The sequence below is a fragment of the Homo sapiens genome, chromosome 14 (assembly GCF_000001405.40).
Source record: "Homo sapiens chromosome 14, GRCh38.p14 Primary Assembly".
NCBI lineage: Eukaryota > Metazoa > Chordata > Mammalia > Primates > Hominidae > Homo > Homo sapiens.
In genome coordinates, this window is record NC_000014.9 from 28,960,028 (window position 1) to 28,986,159 (window position 26,132).

The 26,132-nt window shown below is 35.1% G+C and overlaps 3 long non-coding RNA genes and 1 pseudogene across 8 annotated transcripts in view, besides 1 other annotated feature; 2 read left to right on the plus strand and 2 right to left on the minus strand.

Annotated features, from left to right (window-relative positions):
* Positions 1 to 8,369, plus strand: part of LINC02327 (long intergenic non-protein coding RNA 2327) — a 138,162-nt gene extending 129,793 nt beyond the window's left edge. For all 5 annotated transcript variants that reach the window (NR_184195.1, NR_184194.1, NR_184190.1 and 2 more), the window contains one exon: positions 8,046 to 8,369. This is a non-coding gene — a long non-coding RNA (long intergenic non-protein coding RNA 2327). The remainder of the gene's footprint in view (positions 1 to 8,045) is intronic.
* Positions 8,370 to 11,261: 2,892 nt separating this feature from the next.
* LOC107984685 (uncharacterized) overlaps positions 11,262 to 26,132 on the plus strand; it is a 216,619-nt gene continuing 201,748 nt past the window's right edge. Inside the window, exons 1-2 of the long non-coding RNA XR_007064101.1 lie at positions 11,262 to 11,320; positions 12,171 to 12,312. This is a non-coding gene — a long non-coding RNA (uncharacterized LOC107984685). The remainder of the gene's footprint in view (positions 11,321 to 12,170; positions 12,313 to 26,132) is intronic.
* The window catches only part of LINC02326 (long intergenic non-protein coding RNA 2326), an 89,407-nt gene continuing 78,896 nt past the window's right edge, over positions 15,622 to 26,132 (minus strand). For both annotated transcript variants that reach the window (NR_184206.1, NR_184205.1), the window contains 3 exons: positions 18,866 to 18,991; positions 17,110 to 17,214; positions 15,622 to 16,211 (listed from right to left, as the gene is read on the minus strand). This is a non-coding gene — a long non-coding RNA (long intergenic non-protein coding RNA 2326). The remainder of the gene's footprint in view (positions 16,212 to 17,109; positions 17,215 to 18,865; positions 18,992 to 26,132) is intronic.
* Positions 16,642 to 17,841: an enhancer, noted in NCBI's record as "MED14-independent group 3 enhancer chr14:29445875-29447074 (GRCh37/hg19 assembly coordinates)". NCBI's record gives its function as "activates an origin of replication core promoter dependent on BRD2, BRD4, P300/CBP and CDK7 cofactors, and independent of MED14, by STARR-seq in HCT116 cells {active_cell/tissue: HCT116}" and the evidence as "EXISTENCE:reporter gene assay evidence [ECO:0000049][PMID:35650434]".
* On the minus strand, positions 22,276 to 22,383 carry RNU6-864P (RNA, U6 small nuclear 864, pseudogene; annotated as a pseudogene).

The window sequence follows — 26,132 nt, forward strand, 5'->3', positions numbered from 1 at the left end:
CTGCGTGTTCTCATAGTGGGAGATGAACAATGAGAACATATGGACACAGGCAGGGGAACATCACACACCGAGCCCTGTCTGGGGGTGGGTGCTGGGGGAGGGATTGCATTAGGAGAAATACCTAATGTAGATGACGGGTTGATGGGTGCAGCAAACCACCATGGCAAGTGTATTCCTATGTAACAAACCTGCGAGTTCTGCACATGTATCCCAGAACTTCAAGTATAATTTAAAAAATAAAAATAAAAAATTGAAATTAAGAAACTGATGGAAAGACTTGAGATTTGAAAAAAATTGGTTAAAGTCTAATACAGTGCAAATTATAGTCATTGTTAACCCAAGCATGTTATTCATTGTTGAAAACTGTAAGCTCTATAATTTGTCTTTTAAATTTTCATATATATAGACGTACAATGGAGGTTTTATGTGTTTGTTTCCAGACCTCTGCAATATAGCAAATATTACAGTAAAGTGAGTCACACAAATTTTTTGGTCTCCCAGTGCATATAAAAGTTTTATTTACATTATATTTTAGTCTAAGCGAGCAATAGAATTTTGTCTAAAAAAAACAATGTATACACCTTCATTTAAAAATACTTTCTTGATAAATAAAAAATGGTAATGATCATCTGAGCCTTTAGCTAGTCATAATCTTTTTTTTTATTAGAGGGATTTGCCTTTCTGTTGATGACTGCTGATTTGCCAGAATGATGGTTGCTGAAGGTTGACAATTTCTTGAAACAAGAAACAATGAAGTTTGCCCCATTGATTGACTCTTCCTTTCACAAAAGATTTCTCTGTAGCATGCAATGCTGTTTGATAGCATTTTACCTACAGTAGAACTTCTTTTAATATTGAAGTCAATCCTCTTAAGGTCTGAGTCTGCATCAGCTCAGTTTATATAAGATTCTAAATACTTTGTAGTTACTTCAGTAGTGTTCACAGCATCTTCACTAGGAGTAGAGTTCATCTTAATGAGCCATTTTCCTCATCTATAAGCAACTCCTCATCTCTCCAAGTTTGATCATGAGGTTGCAACAATTCAGTCACATCTTTAGGCTCTACTTCTAATTCTAGTTCTCTTGTATTTCTGCCACATCTGCAGTTACTTCCTCCACAGAAGTGTTGAATCCCTCCAAGTCATCCATGATGGTTGGAACCAACTTCTTCCAAATTCCTATTAATGTTGATATTTTGACCTCCTCCCATGAGTCACAGATGTTCTGATTGGCATCTAAAATAGCAAATCCTTTCCAGAAGATTTTCAGTTTACTTCTTTTGACCTCTCCTTCCATGAGTCACGAATGTTCTGATTGGCATCTAGAATAGTGAGTCCTTTTCAGGTTTTCTTTTATTATTATTATTATTATTATACTTTAAGTTCTAGGGTACATGTGCACAATGTGCAGGTTTGTTACATATGTATACATGTGCCATGTTGGTGTGCTGCACCCATTAACTCGTCATTTACATTAGGTATATCTCCTAATGCTATGCCCCCCTCCCTGCACCCCACGACAGGCCCCGGTGTGTGATGTTCCCCTTCCTGTGTCTAAGGACCACAGAAGATTTTCAATTTACTTTGTCCAGATCCATCAGAGGTAACACCATGTGTGGCAGCTATAGCCTTATATATTGTCTTTCTTAAATAATCAGACATGAAAGTCAAAATTACTCTTTAATCCATGGGCTGCATAATTCTTATTGTGTGAACAGGTACTAAAACAATATTAATCTCTTTATACATTTCAGTCATAGTTCTTAGGTAACTAGGTTCATTGTCAATGAGCAGTAATATTTTAAAAGGAATTGTTTTTTTCTGAGCAATAGTTCTCAGTAGGGTTAAGATATTCAGTAAACCCTGCTGTAAACACATGTACTGTTAACCAGGCCTTGTTGGTCCATTTATAAAGCACAAGCAGAGTAGATTTAGCATAATTCCTAATGGTTCTAGAATTTGTGAAATGATAAATAAGCATTGGCTTCAACTTAAAGTCACCAGCTGCATTAGCCTCTAAAAAGAGGGTCAACCTATTCTTTGAAGCTTTGGAGCCAGGCACTGACTTCTCTAGCTAAGAACATCCCAGATGACATTTTCTTCCAATATAGGACTGTTTCATCTGCATTGAAAATCTGTTGTTTAATGTAGCCAACTCCATCAATGATCTTAATTAGATCTTCTGAAGAACTTGCAGCAGCTTCTATATCAGCATTTGCTGCTTCACCTTCTACTTTTACGTTATGGAGGCAGTTTCTTTCCTTAACCTAATTAACCAACCTCTGCTAGTTTCCAACTTTTCTTCTGCAGATTTCCCACCTCTCTTAGCCTTCATAGAATTGAAGAAAGGTAGAGCCTTGCTCTGGATTAGGCTTTGGCTTAAGGAATGTTGTGACTTGTCTGATTTTCTATACAGAGCACTACAACTTTCTCCGTATCAGCAATAAGGCTGTTTCGCTTTCTTATCATTGGTGTGTTCACTGCAGTAGTGCTTTTTATTTCCTTCAAGAACTTTTCCTTTGCATTCTCAGCTTGGCTAACTGTTTGGCACAATAAGTCTAGCTTTTGGCCTGTTTTGGATTTTGACATGCCTGCCTCTGTAAGCTCAATAGTTTCTAGTTTTTTATTTAAAGTGAAAGATGTGAGACTCTTCCTTTCATTTGAACACTTAAAGGCCATTGTCGGGTTACTAACTGCCCTAATTTCAATATTGTTGTTTTTCTGGGAGTAGATAGGTTTGAGCAGAGGGAGAGAGATGGGGGAATGGGAATGGGCAGTGAGTGGAGCAGTCAGACACACAATATTTATTGATTAAGTTTGTCAACTTACATGAATGTGGCTGGGGGTAACATTATGATAGTAACATTAAAGATCATTGAGTACAGATCTTTATAACAGATGTAATAATAGTGAAACATTTAAAATATTTCTAGACCTACCAAAATGTGACATAGAGACATGAAGTGAGTACACGACATTGGAAAAATAGTCCCAACAGACTTGTTCCATGCAAGGTTACTGCAAACCTTCATTTTTAAAAAGTGTGAAATCTGTGAAATGCAGTAAAGTGAAGCACAATAAAACTAGGTGTGCCTGTATACATAAAACACTTTACTGTTAAAGTACTTTAAAATTCTAACCTAAGAGCTTTTATCCATAAATGAATTATTTACAAGTAAAATAGCCAATATATCAGACTGTGATGTGTTTTTATATAAAACATGGTGAAAATTTTGTGTACATTAAAAATTAATGTCATATTGTGTTGCATCTTTATTGGAAATGAGGAAAAGGGTGTATTTTAGTTTAAAGTCTAGAAATTTTTGTTTTGATACTTTTCAAATGACGAAGATGTCATCTACATAATCAAAATGACTCCTTTTTACATTCAAACAATTTGAAGGGATTTACTTCAAAATACCCTTAATAGGGTCTGATCAAGAAAGTGCTAATGCAATACCTTTCTTTAGTTGTCATTATAATAAAATGAACGTTGCACAAAGAAGAGTTGGTCAGGACATGAGTAATAATGTAGTATTGACAGCCAAACTGCTCTATCTTTTGATGATTTCAATTTTCTGAGATTTAAGTAGAGAAGTGTAAGAATGCCAACACCCACTTTGCTGCTATTCATCTAATAGCTGCTTATCTAATGGGATATGCATTAATTCTTTTAACTGATTTAAACATTATCCACATCTTAGTATAATTATATGTCCTGTAACTATGTGGGCAAAGTTAAGAAAAAGTCACTGTAGGTTTTTGTAGAAAATCCAGAAACCAATTAGAACTTTGATACATGAGTGAGCTGGAAAATTCAGTGGTGGAACTGAAGAAAATGAGGAGGAGGGAGGAGCGGAGAGGAGGAGGAGTGACTTTGAGCAGGTGTGAGTGAAAGGAGGGGCAGTAGAAGGTATAAAGGAACCATTAAAGAATAACATATTAAAATTTTGAAATAACAGAAAAGTCTTATAATTTAACATGTCTTTCCTTCCAATGTACGTGGGTTCTGGGTCTATATTCATAGTAACTTAATGTCCTGAGGTATAACTGTTTTTGTTTTCTGACTCATTTGATAGTCACTGGTCATGTTTCTTCTCAGATATTGTGATTTGAAATTACAAATGCAAGAATCAGTTTTAGTTCAGAGAGACACAGCGAGACTTCATATTAGAAATCTATTGGTAGATAATTTTATACATATATATGTGTATATACACATATATGTGTATATGTGTATATATGTATGTGTATATATGTATTGTGTATATGTATATATGTGTGTATATGTGTATATATGTATGTGTATATGTGTATATATGTGTATATATATGTGTATATGTGTATATATGTGTACATGTGTATATGTGTATATATGTGTATATACACGTATATTCTCTTCTTTCTCTCATACATAAAATATGTAGCCAAAAAAAAGCTATGCCTTTACTAAAATAACCAAAGAGGCTATGAGCCCTGACCCCACTGTTCACTATAAACATTATCTCTATACAGCTTATCGCTTATGTATGATTCCCGTTTTACATATTATGTAAATATGGAATATGGAGGAAATGTATTTTGGGAAGTTTTCAAAACCATGTGGTCAATTAAAGAAGAAACCAGGGCTAGAACTCGGGTATCAAGTCTTAATTTTTAGTGCGAAGAGTTTTTTACTGACACTTGGATTTCCTTTGAATTGAATTCTTTAAAAACAGGAATTCTTGCAGGAGATGTTTATTTTTGGTCTTATCCAACAAATCGAAACATAACTTCAGGATTCAGTAATTTTGTTTTTTACTTACTTTTTGATTGAGAAGAAAAAATGATTTCTAAAGCTTGGATCTTAATAATACCTTTTATGGTTTAATGTGGTTTAAAATTATCATTCTATTAAAACTCTATACATGAAAAAAGCTGAATGAAAAGTGGAGAAAAATATTTATTTGATTCATCCAAAATATTCAGCTGCGAGCATCGTGAAGATGAGAATTTTAGAACTGTAATCAACAGAGTTGTGGGATTTTGTGAAGCCCCTTTTAGAAGCAGACAGAGTGGAGCAAATGAGGGTAGCTGAGTAGGTGGGAGGGTGATGTTCCTTGCATTCCTCAGTTCCAAAAGAGCAACTTTACTTTGATTTGCTTAATATGCTAAAGCTTCCCTGGTCTTATCTTATAGAGAAAAAGCAGCAAGGCCAAATAAATTGATACAGAAGAAATGTTTAGATATGTTTTTGCAAGTTTCTGCATATCTGAAATAGAACCAATACATCACATGGTATGTCCAGGAGTTATATAGGGTTGAGATTTTTTATGGGTTCTGATTTGCAGATGAGAAAACAGTGGCATTGAGGAATAAAGTGCCTTTCCCTATGCCTCATGAGGAATCAGAGGCCCAGCTGCAAAGAATTTTCAAGGAAAGATATTTCTAGTTCAATGCTCTATCCACAAGACAACGCTACATCTTTCCTTTCACAGTTGTTTATATTTGGTTTAACAGCGGTTTTTATTAATGCCTTCTAAATGATTGAAATACAGTTTTAAACCTGAATTGTTACAACTGTATTGTTACCTTTGTCTTTATTAGTACAACAATCTTTTTTCTTGTTTACTCTGTTAAGTGCTAATGTAAATAACAGCTTTTATTTAGCATATTTTTGCTGACTGTTTTTACACTTTTTTGCTACCTCTCGCCTAACAATATTTGTCCCATTCTTTTGCAAATCTTTGAATTCTAAATTAAATGAAGCTAGATCTATTCTAAAAGGAATAGTACATCAGTGTTCTTGTTTTTCAATTCTAATTAAAGCCTTCAACTCCCCTGCACTTACACTTTCTCATATTCCATTGCTGCTGCACAAATGCGATTGCAGCTTACACGGGAGTAATTTTAATATAATTAAAATGATCTAATATTTCAATTGTTTGCAGAGAAACTAAGTGTATTCTCTCAGACACTCATCAGTTTAACTTCCAGATAATATCAAAGAAAAAATGTCATCTTTCTAATCTCACTGCTGATAAAGAGAAGTTTATTTTTATTCTTGGTGTAATCATTTAAATATTTTTTTCTCCAGTACTTCCTGATTGCTTGTTTAAAATTACAATTCTGGTGTTAATAAGCTGTATAGTTCTAAGAAAAGTCACTTAATACCCTCAAGGCTTTTGTTTTCTCAAAGGAAGGCTATTAGACAACCACTCCTTGCCTTCCTTGTGGTATAGGGTTCATGGAGGAAGTGAAGGGGGCTTCAGCCTCACCAACTCCCTCCATCTCCAATATACAGAGTGTGAGTCTCCATCCTTCTTCAGTTAAAACTTTCACATAGACCAAATTAGCATCAGAGTGTAGGTGTTTGTGCAGTTGATTTCCCTTACTCGGTGGTCCTGAAGAAGTAAGTGTACAACTGAGACATGCAATTGTTGCACCCTTCTGTTTTGGGCACAAACTTTAATGTCCATTTCTTGGGGTCAATGGCCACAAGAGGTGAAAAGGATCTTCATCTCCTCAATATGATGACAAGGTCTTTAAGCAGTCAGGTCCAGTATAACTGAAAGGTAGATGTGTCAGTTCCTGAACATACAACTACCTCATTTTCAGGAGTAACGTAAGTAAAAAGTTACCAATTATTAACTGACATTTTCAGGAATAACCTAAGTAAGAAGTTACCGATTATTTTCAGGAATAACTTAAGTAAGAAGTTACTGATTAACTGAAGTAACAGTATAAAGAGCAAAGATGAATCAAAGTGAAAATGCAAAGAGTGATTGTTTTCCTGTTTCATCAGACATATCACACAGGTATCACATTAGATGTGGTTCTCAGCTCCTCTTCAGGGGCTGCTGTCCTGGATCACACACAGGATAGGTGCTTAGTATCTTCCACCAGCTTGATGAACATCTAGGCCTTCTGGCATTGCACAGTTGCCATTAAGGAAAGCAGCCCATTCCTAGTCAACCTCTATTGGCATTCCTCTCCTTCAGCACCTGTCATTTATTCATTAACTCACAAGAACAGTTAAAAACAAGAGAAACAGATGTTGTTGAGCTCATCAAACTGTATACTTTTTTTCAGTTGAATCTCACCTAGCTTCAAATGGGAACAAGATGTTCTTTATGCTTTGGATGTTCTTGTACTGCTGATTTCTAATTCTAGGATTTCCCTAATTCAATGACATTAAAAGTTATAAAATCCCTGGTAAACTATGTCTAAGTGAGGGTAAGATCTTTATTTAATGAAGGAGAAGGGCTTTTAGAAATGAATACTGATTCCTTAACAGCAATCCAGACTTCTTCAAAAAAGAAAATAAAAATAGAAGCATAAAATTTTACAGCTGTTATGAATCAGAAATCTTCAGATTTTTTCCCCCATAAACCTCGTTTTTCCATCAAAGCCTTGAGCTACACACACAGTCTAATCTGATGAGTATTATCAACCTTTAATTTTCTTTGCTACTAGTCTGTTATAGTCTTTGATGTAGCCATCCTGATCTTCCTATAATTTGCAGCTTTGATAGCCAAAGGAAGTATATTTTCTCTAAAGCATGAAAATTTTAGAGGAAGCACCCTATGATGCTCTTTCTTATTATCTAATTTAGTAGCATCATAGAAAATCAAATCCAATATAAATAATTTAAGGAATAACAAGAATGATTAGGAAAATTCTTATTTAAGAATGTATAATGTAACCATCATTTATTATACACCAACTACATGCAGATTCTGTATTAGATTCATGCATTCAACAAATATGTATAGAAAATACACTATGTGTCAAGCATTGTTCTAAACTCTTGGGATATAACAGTGAACAAAACAGGCAAAATTCCATACAAGCATGGTGTTTTAGTTAGCTTCTAAAATAGCCCGTAATGATCTTCACTCCCTAGTATTCACCCCCTTGTATAATGTCTTTCCCTTGGGTGTAGGCTAAACCTAGTAACTTATTTCTAATAAATAGAATATCGTATAAGTGTCAGTTCAGAGCATAGGTTACAAACATAATGCAACTTCTGTCTTGGAAATTCTCACTTTGTCTCACTTTCTCTAAGGAAAGCCAATGGCTGTGTTTTGAGTTTATGGAGAGCCATATGTGGCAAGGAACTGAGGGTGGCATCCAGGCAACAGACTTCAAGAAACTGAGGCTGTCAGTCCAACAACCCACAAGAACTGAATCTGACCAACAATCACAGGAACAAACTTAGAAGTATACTCTTTCCCAGACAAACCTTCAGATGAGACCACAGCCCCAGCCATAAGCTTGAAAACAATCTCATGAGGGACCTTGAGCCACAGGCATGTAGTAAAGCTATGCCAGGAATCCTGCCTGCCCCACAGAAAATGTAAAAAAAATAAATTTTTATTGTTTTAAGCCACGAAGTTTTGAAGTAATTTGATATAAAACAATAGATAATTAATACACATAGAGAAAAATTAAGCAGGGAAAGGAGATAGCTAGTGCTGGAAGAATGAAGTGAGAAACATGGTAATTTATACAGCATCATCAGAGAAGGTCTCAATCAGATTTTAACATTTAAGCAAAACTTTGGAGGAACTGAGAGAGTGAGCTATCCATGGGAGGAAGTTTCCAGAAAAAGGAAGAATAGGTGCAAAGGCACTGAGGTAGGAGTAATTCTATATGTTTAGCGAAGGCAAGGATGCTAGCATGGCTAAAAAGGAATTCATAAGAGAGAAAGAGAATTAGCAGGAAATGAGATAATAGACCTAATGAGAAGCTGTGTGTGTGTGTGTGTGTGTGTGTGTGTGTGTGTGTGTGTGTTTTGGGGAAAGCAGAAAAAGTAGGTAGAAATTTCAGTGACAGTGGTTCATTGTAAATATTTTGTATTTTTTTATAAAAGCAAGATGAGAAACCTTTTTATGATTTCAAGTACTACACCAAATGACGAAGCCAATCAGAGGCCTAGTTAGGTGATAATAATACATATCAAATATATTTAATTTACTCCTTAGATCAGCTGTAAGAAACAATTAACACTAACTCTACATGTTAGAAAACAATTCAGAGTAGTAAAGTTACTTGCCCAAGGCCATGCAGCCAATTTAAGAGATAATCGAAATTTAAATTGATCGTCTTCTGTCTCCAAATTGAAGCCTTTATTTTAGATTAATATTCATCATTATCTCCCAATATATAAAATACTAAAAGATATACAAGCTAGGAAATAAAGCCAGAAAAGACAAGTAAGAAATAGGGTGACATAGATGGTGGGGGGAATTATCTAATTATCCTATACAAGAGAAGTAGCCAGATAATAGTTCTTTGACCTATTGTAAAGCAAGAAACATTATATATGAAGAGCACCACCTGTGTTAGGTAAGTTATCCAAAAATCATTGACGTCAATAAAGGAGAAAGAAACAGCCTCGATTTTCTGAACTCTCAATGTCTTATTGAACCACCAGAGAACACTTTTTCCTCTTCACCTTTATAAAGTACTTTGCAGATGAAAAGTGCTATTATTACCTTAGAGCTTTTAAAAAAATTAAGGCAAAAACATTTCTAAAACAATTATAATTGATTATGTCATCCTTTTACTTTGAGCTGCTGAAGTTCACCGAATTATAGTACAACTAATAAATGAAGATAGCACTTCATTAAAGACTTTAGACATTTTCTGAAATGAATTGAAATTAACAAAGTATCTAAGGATGAAGTGCAAATCTTCTGTAAGTCTTTTCTACAAAAGTGTTCAAAAGCCCAAGTGATTAATATAGCATATTAGTATGAATTTAAAACAATACAGGAGTAAGATTTGAAATCAAGTAAATGGAGTTTTCACTTTTTAAATGTGTAGACACTGTTGACTCTGAAAAAAATATTGCTATTAGCTGGATGGACATCTTTTCTTTTAGATAAAACCTCTGGTCAAGTAATACTTGAATTGTGTGTAGCTCTTGACATACATTGCTTCTAATTCTTGCAAACAATGCCAAAAATATCATTAGCCCCATTTTGACAAACAAGGAAACTGAGGATCATAAAAAATTATCACACAATAATAAATGGGACGGGCAGGATTTCTATCTTGATTACTTAACCTCCGAAGTCTACATATTTCAATTAGAGAACAAGAATTCTGGGTCACTTTCTATTTATTTTTCTGTGTTTTGTTTGTTTCATATGTGTGTGTGTGTGTGTGTGTGTATGTGACAGAGAGAGAGAGATTTCAAAATATTTGAATCTTATATAATTGATTGTTTACACCTCCTTTTTCTCAGGTATAATACACAAAATGGTAATCAAAAGATGCTGCCTGAAGCTATAAATCTGGATCATTCATTTTACACTATTATGAAGTTTTGTTGGTTGAAAAAAACCTGTTCAAAGAGTTCTTCCAGAAAGTCACCCTCCTGTGAGCAAATAGCTTCAAGGCACCAGCAAATTTCATAACTTCAAATTTTAGCCTGAATCTTAATTGACATTGATTTCCTAGTCTTCTCTGAAAATGTTTATCATTTATGAATATTCTATATTATCACTGCAATGTGTTATTATTATTATTATTATTGAATCAACACAAGGCAGATCAACCAAGAAAGAGTTACCCAGTGGTTAGCCACGATCCTTTCTATATGCTGCTTTCTCTTCAGAGACCTCTTTGCATCTCCAAAATGATACTCCACTCTAGTCCTAGGCAGTCTTCTTAGCTACATGACTGTCCTCTGAGAAGGGTTGACCGAATAAACAGTAAACTCCCTGAGTTTTCTTAATTTCAAATTTTTAAGTACTTTATTATTTGACTTTTTAACTTTTAAGTTCAGGGGTGCATGTGCAGGTTTGTAATATAGGTAAACTTGTATCATGGGGATTCGTTTTACAGATTATTTCATCACTGTGGTATTATTCCTAGTGCCCACTAGTTATTTTGCCTGATCCACTCCCTCCTCCTACCCTCCAATCTCCAAAAGGCCCTAGTGTGTGTGATTCCCCATTATGTGTTCACGTGTTCTCACCATTTAGCTCCCACTTATAAGTGAGAACATGCAGTATTTGGTTTTCTGTTCTTGCATTAGTTTGGTAAAGATAATGGCCTCCAGCTCCATTCATGTTCCTGAATTTTCATTTTCATTTTATTTATGGGGCTCAGGGGTGATGACTAGCATATTGTGGAGGCTCAAAAACTGTTTGCTAAATGAATACATGGAATAATAATTTAATGTAAATAAAATATATATTTGCTAGGAATCAAGGCTTTGTTTTCTTTATAAAATTTGCTCCAAAGTCACTCATCTCAACCTGCCACAATGAAGAAAAATACTAGAACAAATGCACCTTCTATCCCAAGACATCAGTTCTCTACATGAAGGTATTTAATAAATTTAAGAAGACTTTAATTTGTTTGATGTTATAATATCACTCAACTTGTATCAATGCTAAAATCTCTTTTACAATACCTTGTATCAGTATGTCTGAAAACAATGTATCTATAAGTATATTTAAATTTTGTTCATGAAGGCAATTTAGTTTAGTTAAAATAGTTCCTAAAATTATTAAAGTTTAAGAAGTTAAATAGTTTGAGATTATTCTGACAACTAGTGTAAGATTACCAAAATTCCCTTGTATATATAATAAAATTAAAAGCATACTAACTTTTGTAGATTTGATATACTTTAAAATATATCTTTTGGAGTCTCTCTTTTTTCTCTCACTCTCTCCATATACGCATATGTTTTCTCCCAAAGTTTCTCATTACCCATCCTTTATAATTTAATTATCCTGAGTGCCTCCTGGTTGAGAATAATGTCCCAACAAAGAATATAAGAACCTTTGTTTTTCAGTCCAAAAGCTTGCTAGCTTACTCCCTACTCCATTTAATGCCACAGAGCTGATGTAAAATTAATGTCAAGAGACAAGATAGCACAAGAAACTTCCATTTTTTTTTTTTTTTTTTTGTGGAGAAAAGCACTCATTTACTTATTGATAAATATTTGCTTAACACCTACTGTGTGCCAGGCCATTCTAGGTACTAGTTGTAAGTTGTCTTGTTATGTAATTACTTGTAAAGTTATCTAAAATCTCCTCACCACTTTCCCTATCCTTGACATTTTTCCTGAGCAGGGTGAAATTAGGAGATAGGCAATTTTGGCTCATAAAATCTTTAAAATCTCTATCAGTTAAGTACGAACTGGATCTCTCTCTCTTTTTTTTTTTCTGAGACGGAGTCTCGCTCTGTCCCCCAGGCTGGAGTGCAGTGGCGCGATCTGGGCTCACTGCAAGCTCCGCCTCCCGGGTTCACGCCATTCTCCTGCCTCAGCCCACCGAGCAGCTGGGACTACAGGCGCCCGCCACCACGCCCAGGTAAATTTTTTTTGTATTTTTTTAGTAAAGATGGGATTTCACCTTGTTAGCCAGGATGGTCTGGATCTCATGGCCTCGTGATCCACCCGCCTCGGCCTCCCAAAGTGCTGGGATTACAGGCGTGAGCCACTGCGCCCGGCCTCATCTATTAATTTTTAAGCAGTTTAGCATACTTTATTTTAAGGAAAGCAAGGCCTCCAAAGCACTGGATTTCATTTTATGAGGAAAAATTGTGATAGTTTATAATGTTTAAACATTGACAAAGTCGTTGAAGATGCCGCAGAAATAATCAAAGCCCTAGGGAGGCTATTAACAATTCAGCTTTTCCATGGCATGTGGGAATATTAATTCTACTTTCCTAAGATAATTTTTGGATGTGATTAATAATATAAAAATATCTCTGCTGCCAGTAGGCATCTCTGCTGTGTGTTCCTGACCCTGTCATCTGACATCATTAACACAAGTACAAATCTTTCACAAGGGCCTTCTGTTATTCTTAAATGGTTTGGTAGACCAGCCAATTTATACAGAGGTTGATTACTTCAACTAATAAAAATAGAATTAGTAGAAAGAGTTAATAGAGAGTCCGATGGAACAGCACACTTTCCAATCTCTTAATGTCTTTGAGAGGAAAAAAATGTTTTCTAAGTTTTAGTTTTGGAACCTATGTTTTACACTTAAAAAAAACCCCAACACTGATTTTGGGAATACACTTCACATTTCTAAGCTGAGTCGTGATTGATTATGCAGTAAAATCTCTAAGGTTCCTTTTGGATCTAAAATTATTTGTTATATTGTATATTATATATTATATGTTATTTTTACCTATTATATAATGTCATATCATATAATACCATCTTGATAATCTACTAATTCAGAAAATAATGGGGTTTTCCTGAATTGTAAAGTATGATTATACTTAAGCAAATCTTACAATTTCATGTAAAAGCATCAATAGCAAATGTGAATTTAATAATATTTAAATAATCTACATTGCCAAGATCTTTCCATGTTCATCTGATCTGAACCCCTCAAAAACACTAATGAAATACATTCTGCTATTATCCAAATATTTATAGATAAGGAAACTGAAGCACTGAAAGGTTGGGTAACTCTCCCAATACTTATTCTCAAAGCCATTATTTGATATCTGGTCTCAGACTTCAAAGTCTACACTGCCTATTTCTTGGACCACAAGATATTGTTCAAGATAGTTTATTTCTGGAGCCCGTGTTTCTAGGTCCACGAACCAGGCTATCATCATTATCAAGGTTGGTGGAGCCATTTTTTTCCATAGAGATGGACTACTCTAGCAACCCTTGTTTAGCTTCATGGCATTTAAATACTCTTTATACTTTTAAATCCAGAGGCCAAGTCATAGAGAAGCAATTCCTTCTCAGATCTCAGAAGTGGAAGGCCTCCAAATTTGTAGATGCATAATCTGACTTTGGTGCTCTCTCATGCAGAATAGGTTAAAATAAAGAAAAGACATTTCAGTTTATGTGGATAGTTTTCCAAATTTGCACTCTCTGTTATAGAGTTCTTCATTTAAAATCCTAAAATTACAGGTAATTTCCACTTTCAAACAGCAGTGCCTTCATTCTCTGATTGCCTTGGTAATACAACACAGTTAATATTTTTACCTTCTTTGAATTAATTATCTCCCTCCTAAATATTTTCTTTCCTGGATTTTAGATTGGGGCTAAATTATAGAATTTATACATTACAATTGGGGAGGAGGGATTAAAGCTCAGAATTAAATGAAGAAAAACATCACAAAGCTTCTCATTTTGTAATGTTTTCTACTTTCTGTTAAATAAATTGAAGACTGCATATTGATGATCTAAATATACATATAGTGACTGCTTTAATTACACATTTGCTACTTATAATACATTGTTACCATGGAACTGAGAAATTTTAATTAAAAAAAATTTTTGATATTAATTTCCCTTCATTTTACAGATTTTTTAAGTAACGCATTTAAGGGGAAAAAATGCTACCTTTATTGTGCCATTAATATATTTATAAACATAATGATCATTTAAATCCTATTTAATGTTTTTATGATCATAAAGAGATTTTCAACTATTTAAAGAATTGTAATTTTTAAACTAGACTTAATATTCATCTTTCGTTTCTAATTGTAAACATTGAGAAAATGGCTCTACAAAATCATATTTTTCCTTTCTATACTGTAATAAAAAGGTCTAGTGTTCAGAAATGTGCTCCTGCTCAAGTTTATATATAACATAATTAGTTATATTTTTCAACATGTTATTATTTATGAAGGATGATTTGCCAACAGACGTATTTCTTACTCTCTCATTTCTAAAAAGCTCATTTGAATGTGTCTCTCCCATTCATCCTGTGCATTTCCCACTCCATAGAAACAAAATATCTTGAACTCATTTTATTAGTAGCCCTATGTATATAAAAAATTCTTTGAAATAACTCCTATTACTTTTTTTTCAAATAGCTAAGTGTTTTTCCTATAAATAATTGAAACTAAATTATTGGTCAAACTTCCAAGGTCAAAAGCAAGCAGAGAGCCAAGCTAGCTGGTAAGGGCTTGCCGAAGTGTGACACACATAATCTACTAGGCAAAAATACCATCGCAGTCTGCATTTGACTCTACTCCACAGCTTACATCCTTAAAGTAGTTTCCTTTCTCTATTCTATTCTATGTATGTGGTGCAAACATAAGACTGCAATTGGATGCTGTTACTCCATCTGCCAGTCATGGAACTTTCCTCTTTGGCTATAATGGAAAGATTGAGGTGCTAATAATCATTGTTTCTGTTATCCTTATTTTATAAAACTTACATTTTTCTTCTCCATTCCTGACTATTGGCACCTTCCTCTCTCTAGGAACTACAGTGCTGTCCTTCTTTGCTTCTGCCTTTGGCTGCCTTCCCAATAGGAGAAGATAGAATTAGTGCATACTCCCTGAGGAGGACGAGAGGGGACTCAGCAGGGGTGCTTCCTTAGTCTCTTCAGCCACTGGCAGGGAGTATTCACAAAGGCAGCCCTGGAACCAGCTACCACTGTATTTTGTGATGAGTAGTACCAGTGCCTCTGTATTCATGTATAGCCAGATGAAGGGAAATAATACACAAATACTAATTATTTGGAGATAATAATGTGTGTACAGCTCCTGATCTGTGTGTACAACTCCCACTGATATTATATTAGGAAAACAAAAACACATTCACAGTCGATGTTCGCCCAACTTATTTTTAAAGAAGTGTGGGTGTCCTCTAAGGGGAAAGGTATAACGAATCATTGCTTAATAAAGGAGAAACACATGCTGATGTATAATTTTAATAGCTGAAGCTAGACTCTAGGCCTTAAGTCTTTTGAACTCTATTAATAAGAAAGAATGCGAACCTACTTTTTCTACATAATTAAAATCTTCAAATTAAATGAGTGAATTTCATCAGATTTTGCTCATATGTGCCGGATCTGTAGAATAATCAAGAGGTAAGAAAGTGAGTTATAAGACAATTATTCATGTTATTAGAGGTCAAATCAGATGAAGATATTTTAGTGTATTTTTTCCAAGGGTATGGGGTGGCTGTGTTTTCTAAATGGTGTAGATTGTTTTTTATTTCCCTTAACTTCACTTTCTGGGGATGAGTGATGTCGTATGGTTTGCTTCTCTGCCAGCACTGATAGATTCTTCCCCAGATCTTCCCACTAGGTAGATATGTAATCATTCTATTTCACATCTTTGCTTCAGCACAATTCCGTGCTGACACATCTTCTCTCTGGAGGGAAGAGTGTGGCCTGGTGGTAGCAGCACACATTCTGAGAGCCAGGAATCATTGAGTGCTAATCTCAATATTAGGTTCCTCAGTGACTTAGGCAAGTCACTTCCTTATCCCTTTGTTCCATATCTGTAAAAGAGAGATGACAATGCAACAGTAATTTGGGTAGTAATTAGTGTTGGTGAAGTGTTACAGTAACTCTAAATATTATTGTCATTACTTCAACACAATCAGCTAATTGGAGCAACCTCCCATGAGTTCAAACCTGCTAGTTAATTAAACTATAAATGTAAGTGCACATGGTATGTATTTTCTGCAATCAGGTATATGCCAATAGTCTTACAAACTTATAAAGAGACTGTATTTCAAAAAATTAATGGGAATTTACTTATTTCTAATTTGGAACATATTTCCATGTATAAACAGTATCAGTAGTCATCTAGGCAAGCCTATGATGTTATGTTCATCTTGTGATAAGCACTTGCAATGAAAGTATTGGAAAATTATATTGTTTTTATTGTGAAGAGAAGATAATAAATTATCTTGATGTTCATGTTTAAGAAAAGAAGAATGGGAAAATAGCAAAAGAACCATGACTATTTCAAGAAGGTATCTAATGAAACTGGTTTAGAAATCACTAATTCAACATGCATTCTTTCATTTATTATTTAAAAATTAATACTTGAGTTTACCTCTGTGTCAGAAACTATTCTAGTGCTAGGGACATAACAGTGAACAAAACACTGTTCTCAAAGTGGGGGAAAGACGTCAAGCAAACAAATACATACTATTTCAGATGGACATAATGTGCTATGAAAAATAGCAAAGCAAGATAAGGGGTGGGTGATTGACAGGAGAGGTTGCCGTATCTCACGGGGTGCTCAGAGAAGACCTGCGGTCAGATAATACATAATCGTAAACTGGAATGCACTTGGAAATCCAAGCATGTGAATATCTGGAGGTAGAATATTCCAGGCAGAGGTGAGAGCAAGTGCAAAAGCGCTGATGTAATCACACCAATCCTTACAACAAGTAGTGAGATCAGGGCCAGTAGTAGGTGATACGACCATGGGAGCAAGACGTCAGAGTGATGCAAAGTCATTAGCCAAGGAATGCAGGCAGCCTCTAGAAACTGTAAAAGGAAAAGAAATTAATTCTCTTCTGTGCTTACTGAAGGAACCAGCCCTGCCAGTACCTAACTTTCGCCCAGGAGAATAAGTTTGGATTTCTGATTTTCAGAATTATAAAGGAATATGTTTATGTTGCTCTAAGCCACCAATTTTATGGTAATTTACTACAACAGCCACAGGAAACTAATACAGGGAGCAAGGGTATAAACTGGAAGTCCAGCTAAGAGCCTGGAGCCTGGAAGTGGTGATAGCTTGCACTAGAGTGATAATGGTGGGCCTGCTTAGGAGTCATAATATTCAGAAATTATTACGACTGGTATGCTAATAGGATTTGTTGATGACCTGGATACAGAGTGTACAAGAAAGACAGGAATCAGGGCTGACTTTAAAGATTTGGGCCTGAACAACTGGTAAATTGACATTTCCATTTGCTGAAATGCCAATGACTAGGGATGTCAAGAACAAATATTTTTGATTACCTACTAAATTCTAGCCATTGTTCCAGGGATGCAAAAGTCAAGATATCCACGCCTTCACAAAATTTATAATCCAGCATGGTGTTTCTCAAGTGTATCCTTGGGTTCCCTGATATTTCTACACTTCCTGCTCTGCTCTTCCAATATCTGGGGCACAGTAGGTTTTCTCAATCCCTGCAGTGTAGATACCTACTCTAAAATCTGTGACTCATATATTGAAGAATTCACTACAAGTTTGCTGGGAAGAGGTTCCTTATCCCTTTATCATTTTCTTCAGTTATCAGCCCCCCTTCCCCTCTTGTCACCACCAATGCCATTTTCTATCATACAGTGTAGTCATCTTCCAGTGATAGGCAGATATATTTTCAAATATATCTCACAGTGCCACTGAAATATGATGGTTATTCTGTTTAACCTATATCATTGTACTATATGCACACTAGTCCTACAGCAAACGAATTTAAAAGCCTCTGAAGTATCTCTGAAATCAAATGTACTGCTTCACCTATGTATACAAAACCTGGGTACTAGAAAATAACCTCAAAGCAGATTTATTTTTTCAATTATAGCTTCGAATTTATAATTGTATGTTAATTGCAAAAATCTTTATAGGTACAAGAGATAACACAAAGAGAGAAAGAAAACTAATATTACCTAGTAGAGGCCATATTAGGTTACAGATTTGCCTGCTTTAAAAAGTGATTCCAAAAAGAGTATGATTTAATCACAATAGAAATAAACTTATCTCTCTTGGTCACCACTCAGGAACCCTATGACACTTGGGTAGTATCAAGTAGTATCTTTCCATCAAGTAGTACCTTTCCATCTTGTTGCTCTGCCATTGCTATAGTTTGTTATCATACATGCTACAGAAATGCCTTCCCAAAGTGTCTGTAGGCCAGTGTGATGGAAAGAAAAGAGAAGAGGAAGGCGTATTTATTCCTTTAGAAGTATATGCCACAAATTGTACATATCTTTCCTCTCATTTCATAGATAAGAATTTACTCCTGTTGTGACGCTTAAACGCAAAAGAGGTAACACAATGAAGTTTGCGGATAGGTTAACCTATGCCCAGCTACAGCTTCTATTGCTACAGGAAAAGAAGAGAACAGATGTTTGAATAATAACTATTAGTCTTAGCCACAGAGCAAATAATGGACATTTCTTCATTACATACCATGATGTTCTCTTGTTTTTGTGGGTTCACTCTTTACTTCTAATGTGCTTTCCTCACAATTCCATTTGTCAAATTTGATGTAGCCTTTAAAGCCCAGCTTAAATTTCATCACCTTTCTGAAACTTTCTGTGGTAGAGATAATAACATTGATCAAATATTATACCTATTTGTCCATATTTGTCAACCATCTTGCAGTGGGTGGTAGGGGCTCGAGGAGGGTGACAACTACGTTTCTGGCCAGTGGCCTCTGAGATGAAGTGATGTAGACTCTTCTACTGCCATGATGAATATGGAATCTTCTGTTCTAAATGAGGAAACTATGAAAGGGTGGAACCTTTTTTATTCTGGATTCTTGAGTGACGACCCAACTTGAGCTGAATATATATATTGTGTGAGAGAAACCTTATTTGTGGAATATGGGATTAAGGTTTTGAGGTTGTTATCACAATAGGGTGAAGTCACTTTCTTTGACTCTTCCAGGCAGATTTGATTGCTCCTTCCTATCTGTTCTTTGTATATGTATAGACTTTTGCAAGTCACAGTATACTTTTTGATCTGTGTACTTCTGATTTCCTGGGAAAGTCAATGACTTTCTCAATGGATTCTAGTGTACAGTAGAGCTCAATAAAAGGGTGATTGTTTAAATTATATCTAGAGCTAAAATAAGTAGCAAGAAGCAGGGAGGTATCAGGAAAAATGAGACAGACTGAAAACAGAAGAATTTTCTGCAATAAGGGTATGGCTGGGTATAATACATTAGATGCTGATATTTGGCTAGAAAATAACTGTCATTTTATGGCTTCTGCATGTATTTTTGAAAACTTTCAGACAATTTTATGTTTTCTACCATTTCTTATTGGATAAAATAAGGACAGAGTGGCAATCTGTATAAGGAAGCAAAACAATGGTATGTGTCTTAAAGATACACATGGAATGACACCCATTTCACATTCAATGACATCTATAGACTCAAAGGAATGGAGAAAAATCTACCAATGAAATGGAAAACAGAAAAAAGTAGAAGTTGCAATCCTAATTAATGACAAAACAAACTTTAAACCAACAAAGATCAAAAAAGACAACGAAAGGCATTACATAATGATTAAGGGTTCAATTCAACAAGAAGACTTAACTGTCGTATACATGCATATATGTATATATACACACCCAACACAGGAGCACCTAGATTCATAAAGCAAGTTCTTAGAGACCTTCAAAGAGACTTAAACTCCCACACAATAATAGTGGGATACTTCAACATCCCACCGACAGTATTAGACAGATCATCAAGGCAGAAAATTAACAAAGATATCGGGACCTGAACTCAACACTGGAACAGATGAACCTGATAGATTTCTATAGCACTCTCCACCTAAAAGTAATGGCATATACATTTTTCTCATTGCCACATGGCACATACTCTAAAATCAACCACATATTTGTACATAAAACAATCCTCAGCAAATGCAGAAAGCTGAAATCATACCAACCACTCTCTCAGATCACAGTGCAATAAAACTAGAATTCAAGAATCAGAAAATTCCTCCAAACTATATAATTACATGGAAATTAATCAACCTGACCCTGAATGACTTATGGGTAAATAATGAAATTAAGGTAGGAATCAGGAAATTCTTTGAAACTAGTGAGAACAAAGATACAATATACCAGAGTCTCTGAGGCACAGCAAAGGCAGTGTTAAGCAGAAAATTTATAGCACTAAATGTCCACATCAAAAAGTTAGAAAGACCTCAAACTAACAACCTAACATCATAATTAAAATAACTAGAGAAGTAAGAGCAAACGAATTCTAAAGCTAGCAGAGACAAGAAATAACCAAAATCAGAGCCAAACCAAAGAGATTGAAATGTGAAAAATAATTCAAAAGATAAGTGAATCCAAGAGCTGTTTTTTGAAAAATTAATAAGATAATAGACCACTAGCTAGACTAATAAAGAGAAGATCCAAATAAATATAATTAGGAAAGACAAATAGGATATTGCTCCTGATTCCACAGAAATACAAATAACCCTAGAAGACTATTATGAACATCTATATGCACATAAACTATAAAATTTAGAATAAATGGATAAATTTCTGGACACATACACCCTCCCAGGATTGAAACAGGAAGAAACTGTATCCCGGAACAGACCCATAATGAGCTCTGAAATTGAATCAGTAATAAATAGCCTATCAACCAAAAAAAAAAAAAAGCCCAGGACCAGACAGATTCATAGCCAAATTCTACCAGATGTGCAAAGAAGAGCTGGTACCATTCCTACTGAAACCATTCCACAAGATTGAGTAGGTGAGACTCCTCAACTCATTCTATGAAAATAGCATTCTGTTATCAAAACCTGGCAGATACACAACAAAAAAAGAAAACGTCAGGCCAATATCTTTGATGAACATTGATGCAAAAATCTTCAACAAAACACTGGCAAACTATAGGACAAGGCACGGTGGCTCATGCCTGTAATCCCAGCACTTTGGGAGGCCTAGGCAGGAGACTCACCTGAGATCATGAGTTTGAGTCCAGCCTGGGCAACGTGGTGAAACCCCATCCCTACTAAAAATACAAAAATCAGCTGGGTGTGGTGGCACGCACCTGTAATCCCAGCTACTCGGGAGGCTGAGGCAGGAGAATTAGTTGAACCTGGGAGGTGGAGGTTGCAGTGAGCCGAAATCACACCACTGCACTCCATCCTGGGTGATAGAACTTCATATCAAAAAACAAACAAACGAAACAAAACACTGTCAAACTGAATCCAGCAGCACATCAAAAAGCTAATCCACCACGATCAAGTAAGCTTTATCTCTGGGATGCAAGGTTGGTTCAACATATGCAAATCAGTAAACATGATTCATCACATAAACAGAACTAAAGAAAAAAAAACATGATCATCTCAGATGCAGAAAAGGCTTTCAATAAAATTCAACATCGCTTCATGTTAAAAACTCTCAACAAACTAAGTATTGAAGGAACATACATCAAAATAGTAGGAACTGTCTATGACAAACCCATAGCCAGCATTATACTGAATGGGCAAAAGCTAGGAGCATCCCCCTTGAAAACTGGCACAAGACAAGGATGTCTTCTCTCGCCACTCCTATTCAGTGTAGTATTGGAAGTCCTGGCCAGGGCAACCAGGCAAGAAAAAGAAACAAAGCACATCCAAATAGAAAGAGAAGAAGTCAAATGATCCCTGTTTGCAAGTGACATCATTCTATATCTAGAAAACCCCATAGTCTTGACCCAAAAGCCCCTCCAGCTGATAAACAACTTCAGCAATATCTCAGGATACAAAATCCACACTAGCATTTCTATACACCAACATCAGCCAAGCCAAGAGCCAAATCAGGGATGCAATCCCATTTACAATTGCCACAAAAATAATAAAATACCTAGGAATACAGTTAACTAGGGAAGAGAAAGATCTCATCCTTGTGCAGGAGCCATGCTAATCTTCTCCATACTGTTCCAATGTTTGTGTATGTGCTAGTGAAGCGAGCACAGAAAGATCTCTACAATGAGAATTATAAAGCACTGCTCAAACAAATCACAGATAACATCAACAAATGAAAAAAATTCCATGATCATGGATAAGAAGAATCAATATCATTAAAATGGTGATACTGCCCAAAGCAATTTACAGATTCAATGCTATTCCTACCAAACTACTAAAGACATTCATTACAGAAATAGAAAGTTTTGCTTTAAAATTCATACGGAACCAAAAGAGTCCAAATATTTAAGGCAATCCTAAGCATGAAGAACAAAGCAGGAGGCATCACACTACCTGACTCAAACTATATTGTAGGGCTATAATAACCAAAACAGCATGGTACTGGATGGTACTGGTACAAATACAGACACATAGACCAATGGTCCAGAGTAGAGAGCCCAGAAATAAGGTCACACATCTACAACAATTTGGTGTTCAATGTAGCTGACAAAAACAAGCAATGGAGAAAGGACTCTCTATTCGATAAATGGTGCTGGGATAACAGGCTAGCCATATGCAGAAGATGGAAACTAGACCCCTTCCTTACACCATACACAAAAGTCAACTCAAGATGGATTAAAGATTTAAGTTACAACCAAAAACTATAAAAACCCCAGAAGACCAGCTAGGCAATACCATTCTGGACATAGGAATGGACAAAGATTTCATGATGAAGACGCCAAAAGCAATGACAACAAAAACAAAAATTGACAAATGGGATCTAATTAAACAAAAGAGCTTCTGCACAGCAAAATAAACTATCATCAGAGTAAATAGTAAACCTATAGAATGGGAGAAAGTATTTACAAACTATGGATCTGACAAAGGTCTACTATCCAGCATCTATAAGGAACTTAAACAAATTTATCTAAAATATACAAACAATCCCATTAAGACATTTTTCAAGACAAGGCATACATACAGGCGGCCAAAAAGCATGTGAAAAAAAAAAGCTTAACATCACTGACCATTAGAGAAATGCAAATCAAAACCACAATGAGATACCATCTCACACCAGTCAGAATGGCTATTATTACAAAGTCAAAAAATAGCAAATGCTGAGGCTGACGAAGATGCAGAGAAAAGAGAACGCTTATACACTGCTGGTGGGAGTGGAAAGTAGTTCAACCACTGCGGAGAGCTGTGTGGTGATTCTTCAAGGAGCTAAAAACCAAACTACCATTCAACCCAGCAATCTCACTACTGGATATATACCCAAAGGAATACAAATGATTCTGTCAAAAAGACACATGCACATGTAAGTTCACTGTAGCACTCTTCACAATAGCAAAGACGTGGAGTCAACCTAAATACCCATCAATGGTAGACTGGATAAACGAAATGTACTATGTATACACCATGAAATACTATGAAGACATAAAAAGAATGAGATCATGTCCTTTGCAGGGACATGGATGGAGCTGGAGACCATTATTCTTAGCAAACTCACACAGGAATATGAAACCAACCACCGCATTTTCTCACTTATAAGTGGGAACTAAATAATGAGTATACATGGACACAAAAAGGGGAACGACAGACACTGGGGCCTGCTGGAGGGTGGAGGATGGGAGAAGGGAGAGGAACAGAAAAAATAACTATTGTGTACTAGGCTTAGTCCATGGGTGATAAAATAATCTGTATACACACCCCCATGACATGAGTTTACCTATATAACAAACCTGCACGTGTATCCCCGAACATAAAATAAAAATTAAAAAATTACTTTTTAGTGCAACATTTACTTTTTTAAACACATTTTCATATTGCTCTTGTTTTATAAGTGTGTAACAAACTTTCTCAGCTTGTTTAGTACTATAAGGATTTATTAACTATCATATTTTAAAGTTATAGAATTGTTTTGTCTAATAAAAAGATGAGAGCACATGATATAATATTCCAAATAAATATAGTATACTTTTTGTATAATATTCTTCTCTATTACTCACTATGATCCAGTGATTTAGAGGTTATCATTATCTCATTCCACAAATCAGGGAAGTGGGTGGATTTTAATGCTATGGATTAAGTGTCTATATTATCATAAAACCATTCAATATTTTGTACGATTACTTATTTCATGCAATATTACATAAATTTACTAAAATATGCATTCCAACTTTTGAGGTAGGATTTTATTTTCATTCAGTGCTGAACATATTTCAATCATTAATTTACATTTCTCTTTGTCAATAATAAAGTTAAATTTCTGTACTTTGATTCACCATTTAGAATTGAAATCTGAACTACTTTCTATAGGAAGATCCACATATGTAATGAAAAGTACAGGACCACTGTCTGAAAGAGTTGTGCTTAAATTACTTATCACATTGAAGTAGTTATTCATGGGTAGCCAGAAGAGTAAAAAAAAAGTAATCTAAGAAGTTAAAATAATCTTGGTCACAGACATTTAAAAAGAGCAAAGAAATGTAGATTAGATCAAAATTTGCCTGGGTTTATCCACTCTCTGTACATAAGTGGATTTTGTAACTTGTATTTACTTGGATAATGTAGTAGGAAAATCACAGTTTACATTGATGTTTTATCAGCGACAACACAGTTGTTTAATGCTAAAATTAAATAGAATTTGGAACTGCTTTTTAAGTCAGAGTAGAAGAAAACATTTGAGGCAATTGAGATGTAATAATTTAAACATAAGCTTGCAAAAACAGAAAGATAAATCAGTGATTTCACCTGGTTTCTTTTACACATTCATTTTATGTGACATGAGAATTGGCCTTCAACACTATTTACATCTATCCTTTCTATTCTATAAATGTATTATAGTGTGTTGAAAAATTATTGTTTGTAGCATTTCCACAGAGAGGAAGAGAGAATATTTCACTCAGTATAAGATTTATGCTTGCTGAAGGCAGCAAGAATTGCTTGTGCACATTTTACAGAGAATTTGACTCCTTGCCATAAAAGTTCAAGTGACCACTTAGGATTTCTCATTGAGAACCACTGTATGCAAACACATGAGCTGTGGATTGATTCTTACTTAATTACTAGACCACCAACTTTGCAAGTGCCATTAACTGCAATACAATCTTGGACACTGTGCAAAACCATCATGATTTTCCTTCTGATCTCTCCAGTGTGTTTCAGACCATCTAGGAAGGCTCAAAAGTAGTACATAAAATTTCACCCTTATGTGTCAAGTTGATATAAAAAGTGGGCATGCTACAATCCTTTCAGAGTTACAATTCAAGTGAGAAACCCAACTATGTATTAAATTCATGGATAAACAATGGGAACTTGAAAACCATAATTTCAAGTTTTATTTCTGCAGGCATTGGCATATGACACCAAATTATTAAATTTTGCACAATACAAAATTGAACACATGAGAGATTTACATAGGGATAAGAGAGCTTCATGGAGTTTGGGAATGTGCAAAAGCTATAGAATATTTTCATAATAGTCTTACGAAGTACGAACTGAACAATAGTTGTCAAATATGACCCTCACCTAATTTGTATGGTAACTTTAATATGTGTAACCATCACATAAGTGGGTAAGAAAGTACGGAAATGCAGAAACCATGTGAGATAGCAGGTAGACGCTTGTTAGCTTTGGTTGCTGATGCATATGGAAAACTAATAATCCAATACTAAAAGCATCTTTAGCATATAGAATTGTTCTGGATGAGGTTTGGGGAGGGGGATATAGTGCATTTTTATAAGTAGCTCCTGTGCAGAAGTTGTTTTCTTTACAACATGAACTAGGGAAGTTTGTAAATCAATCCTCTTATTTGT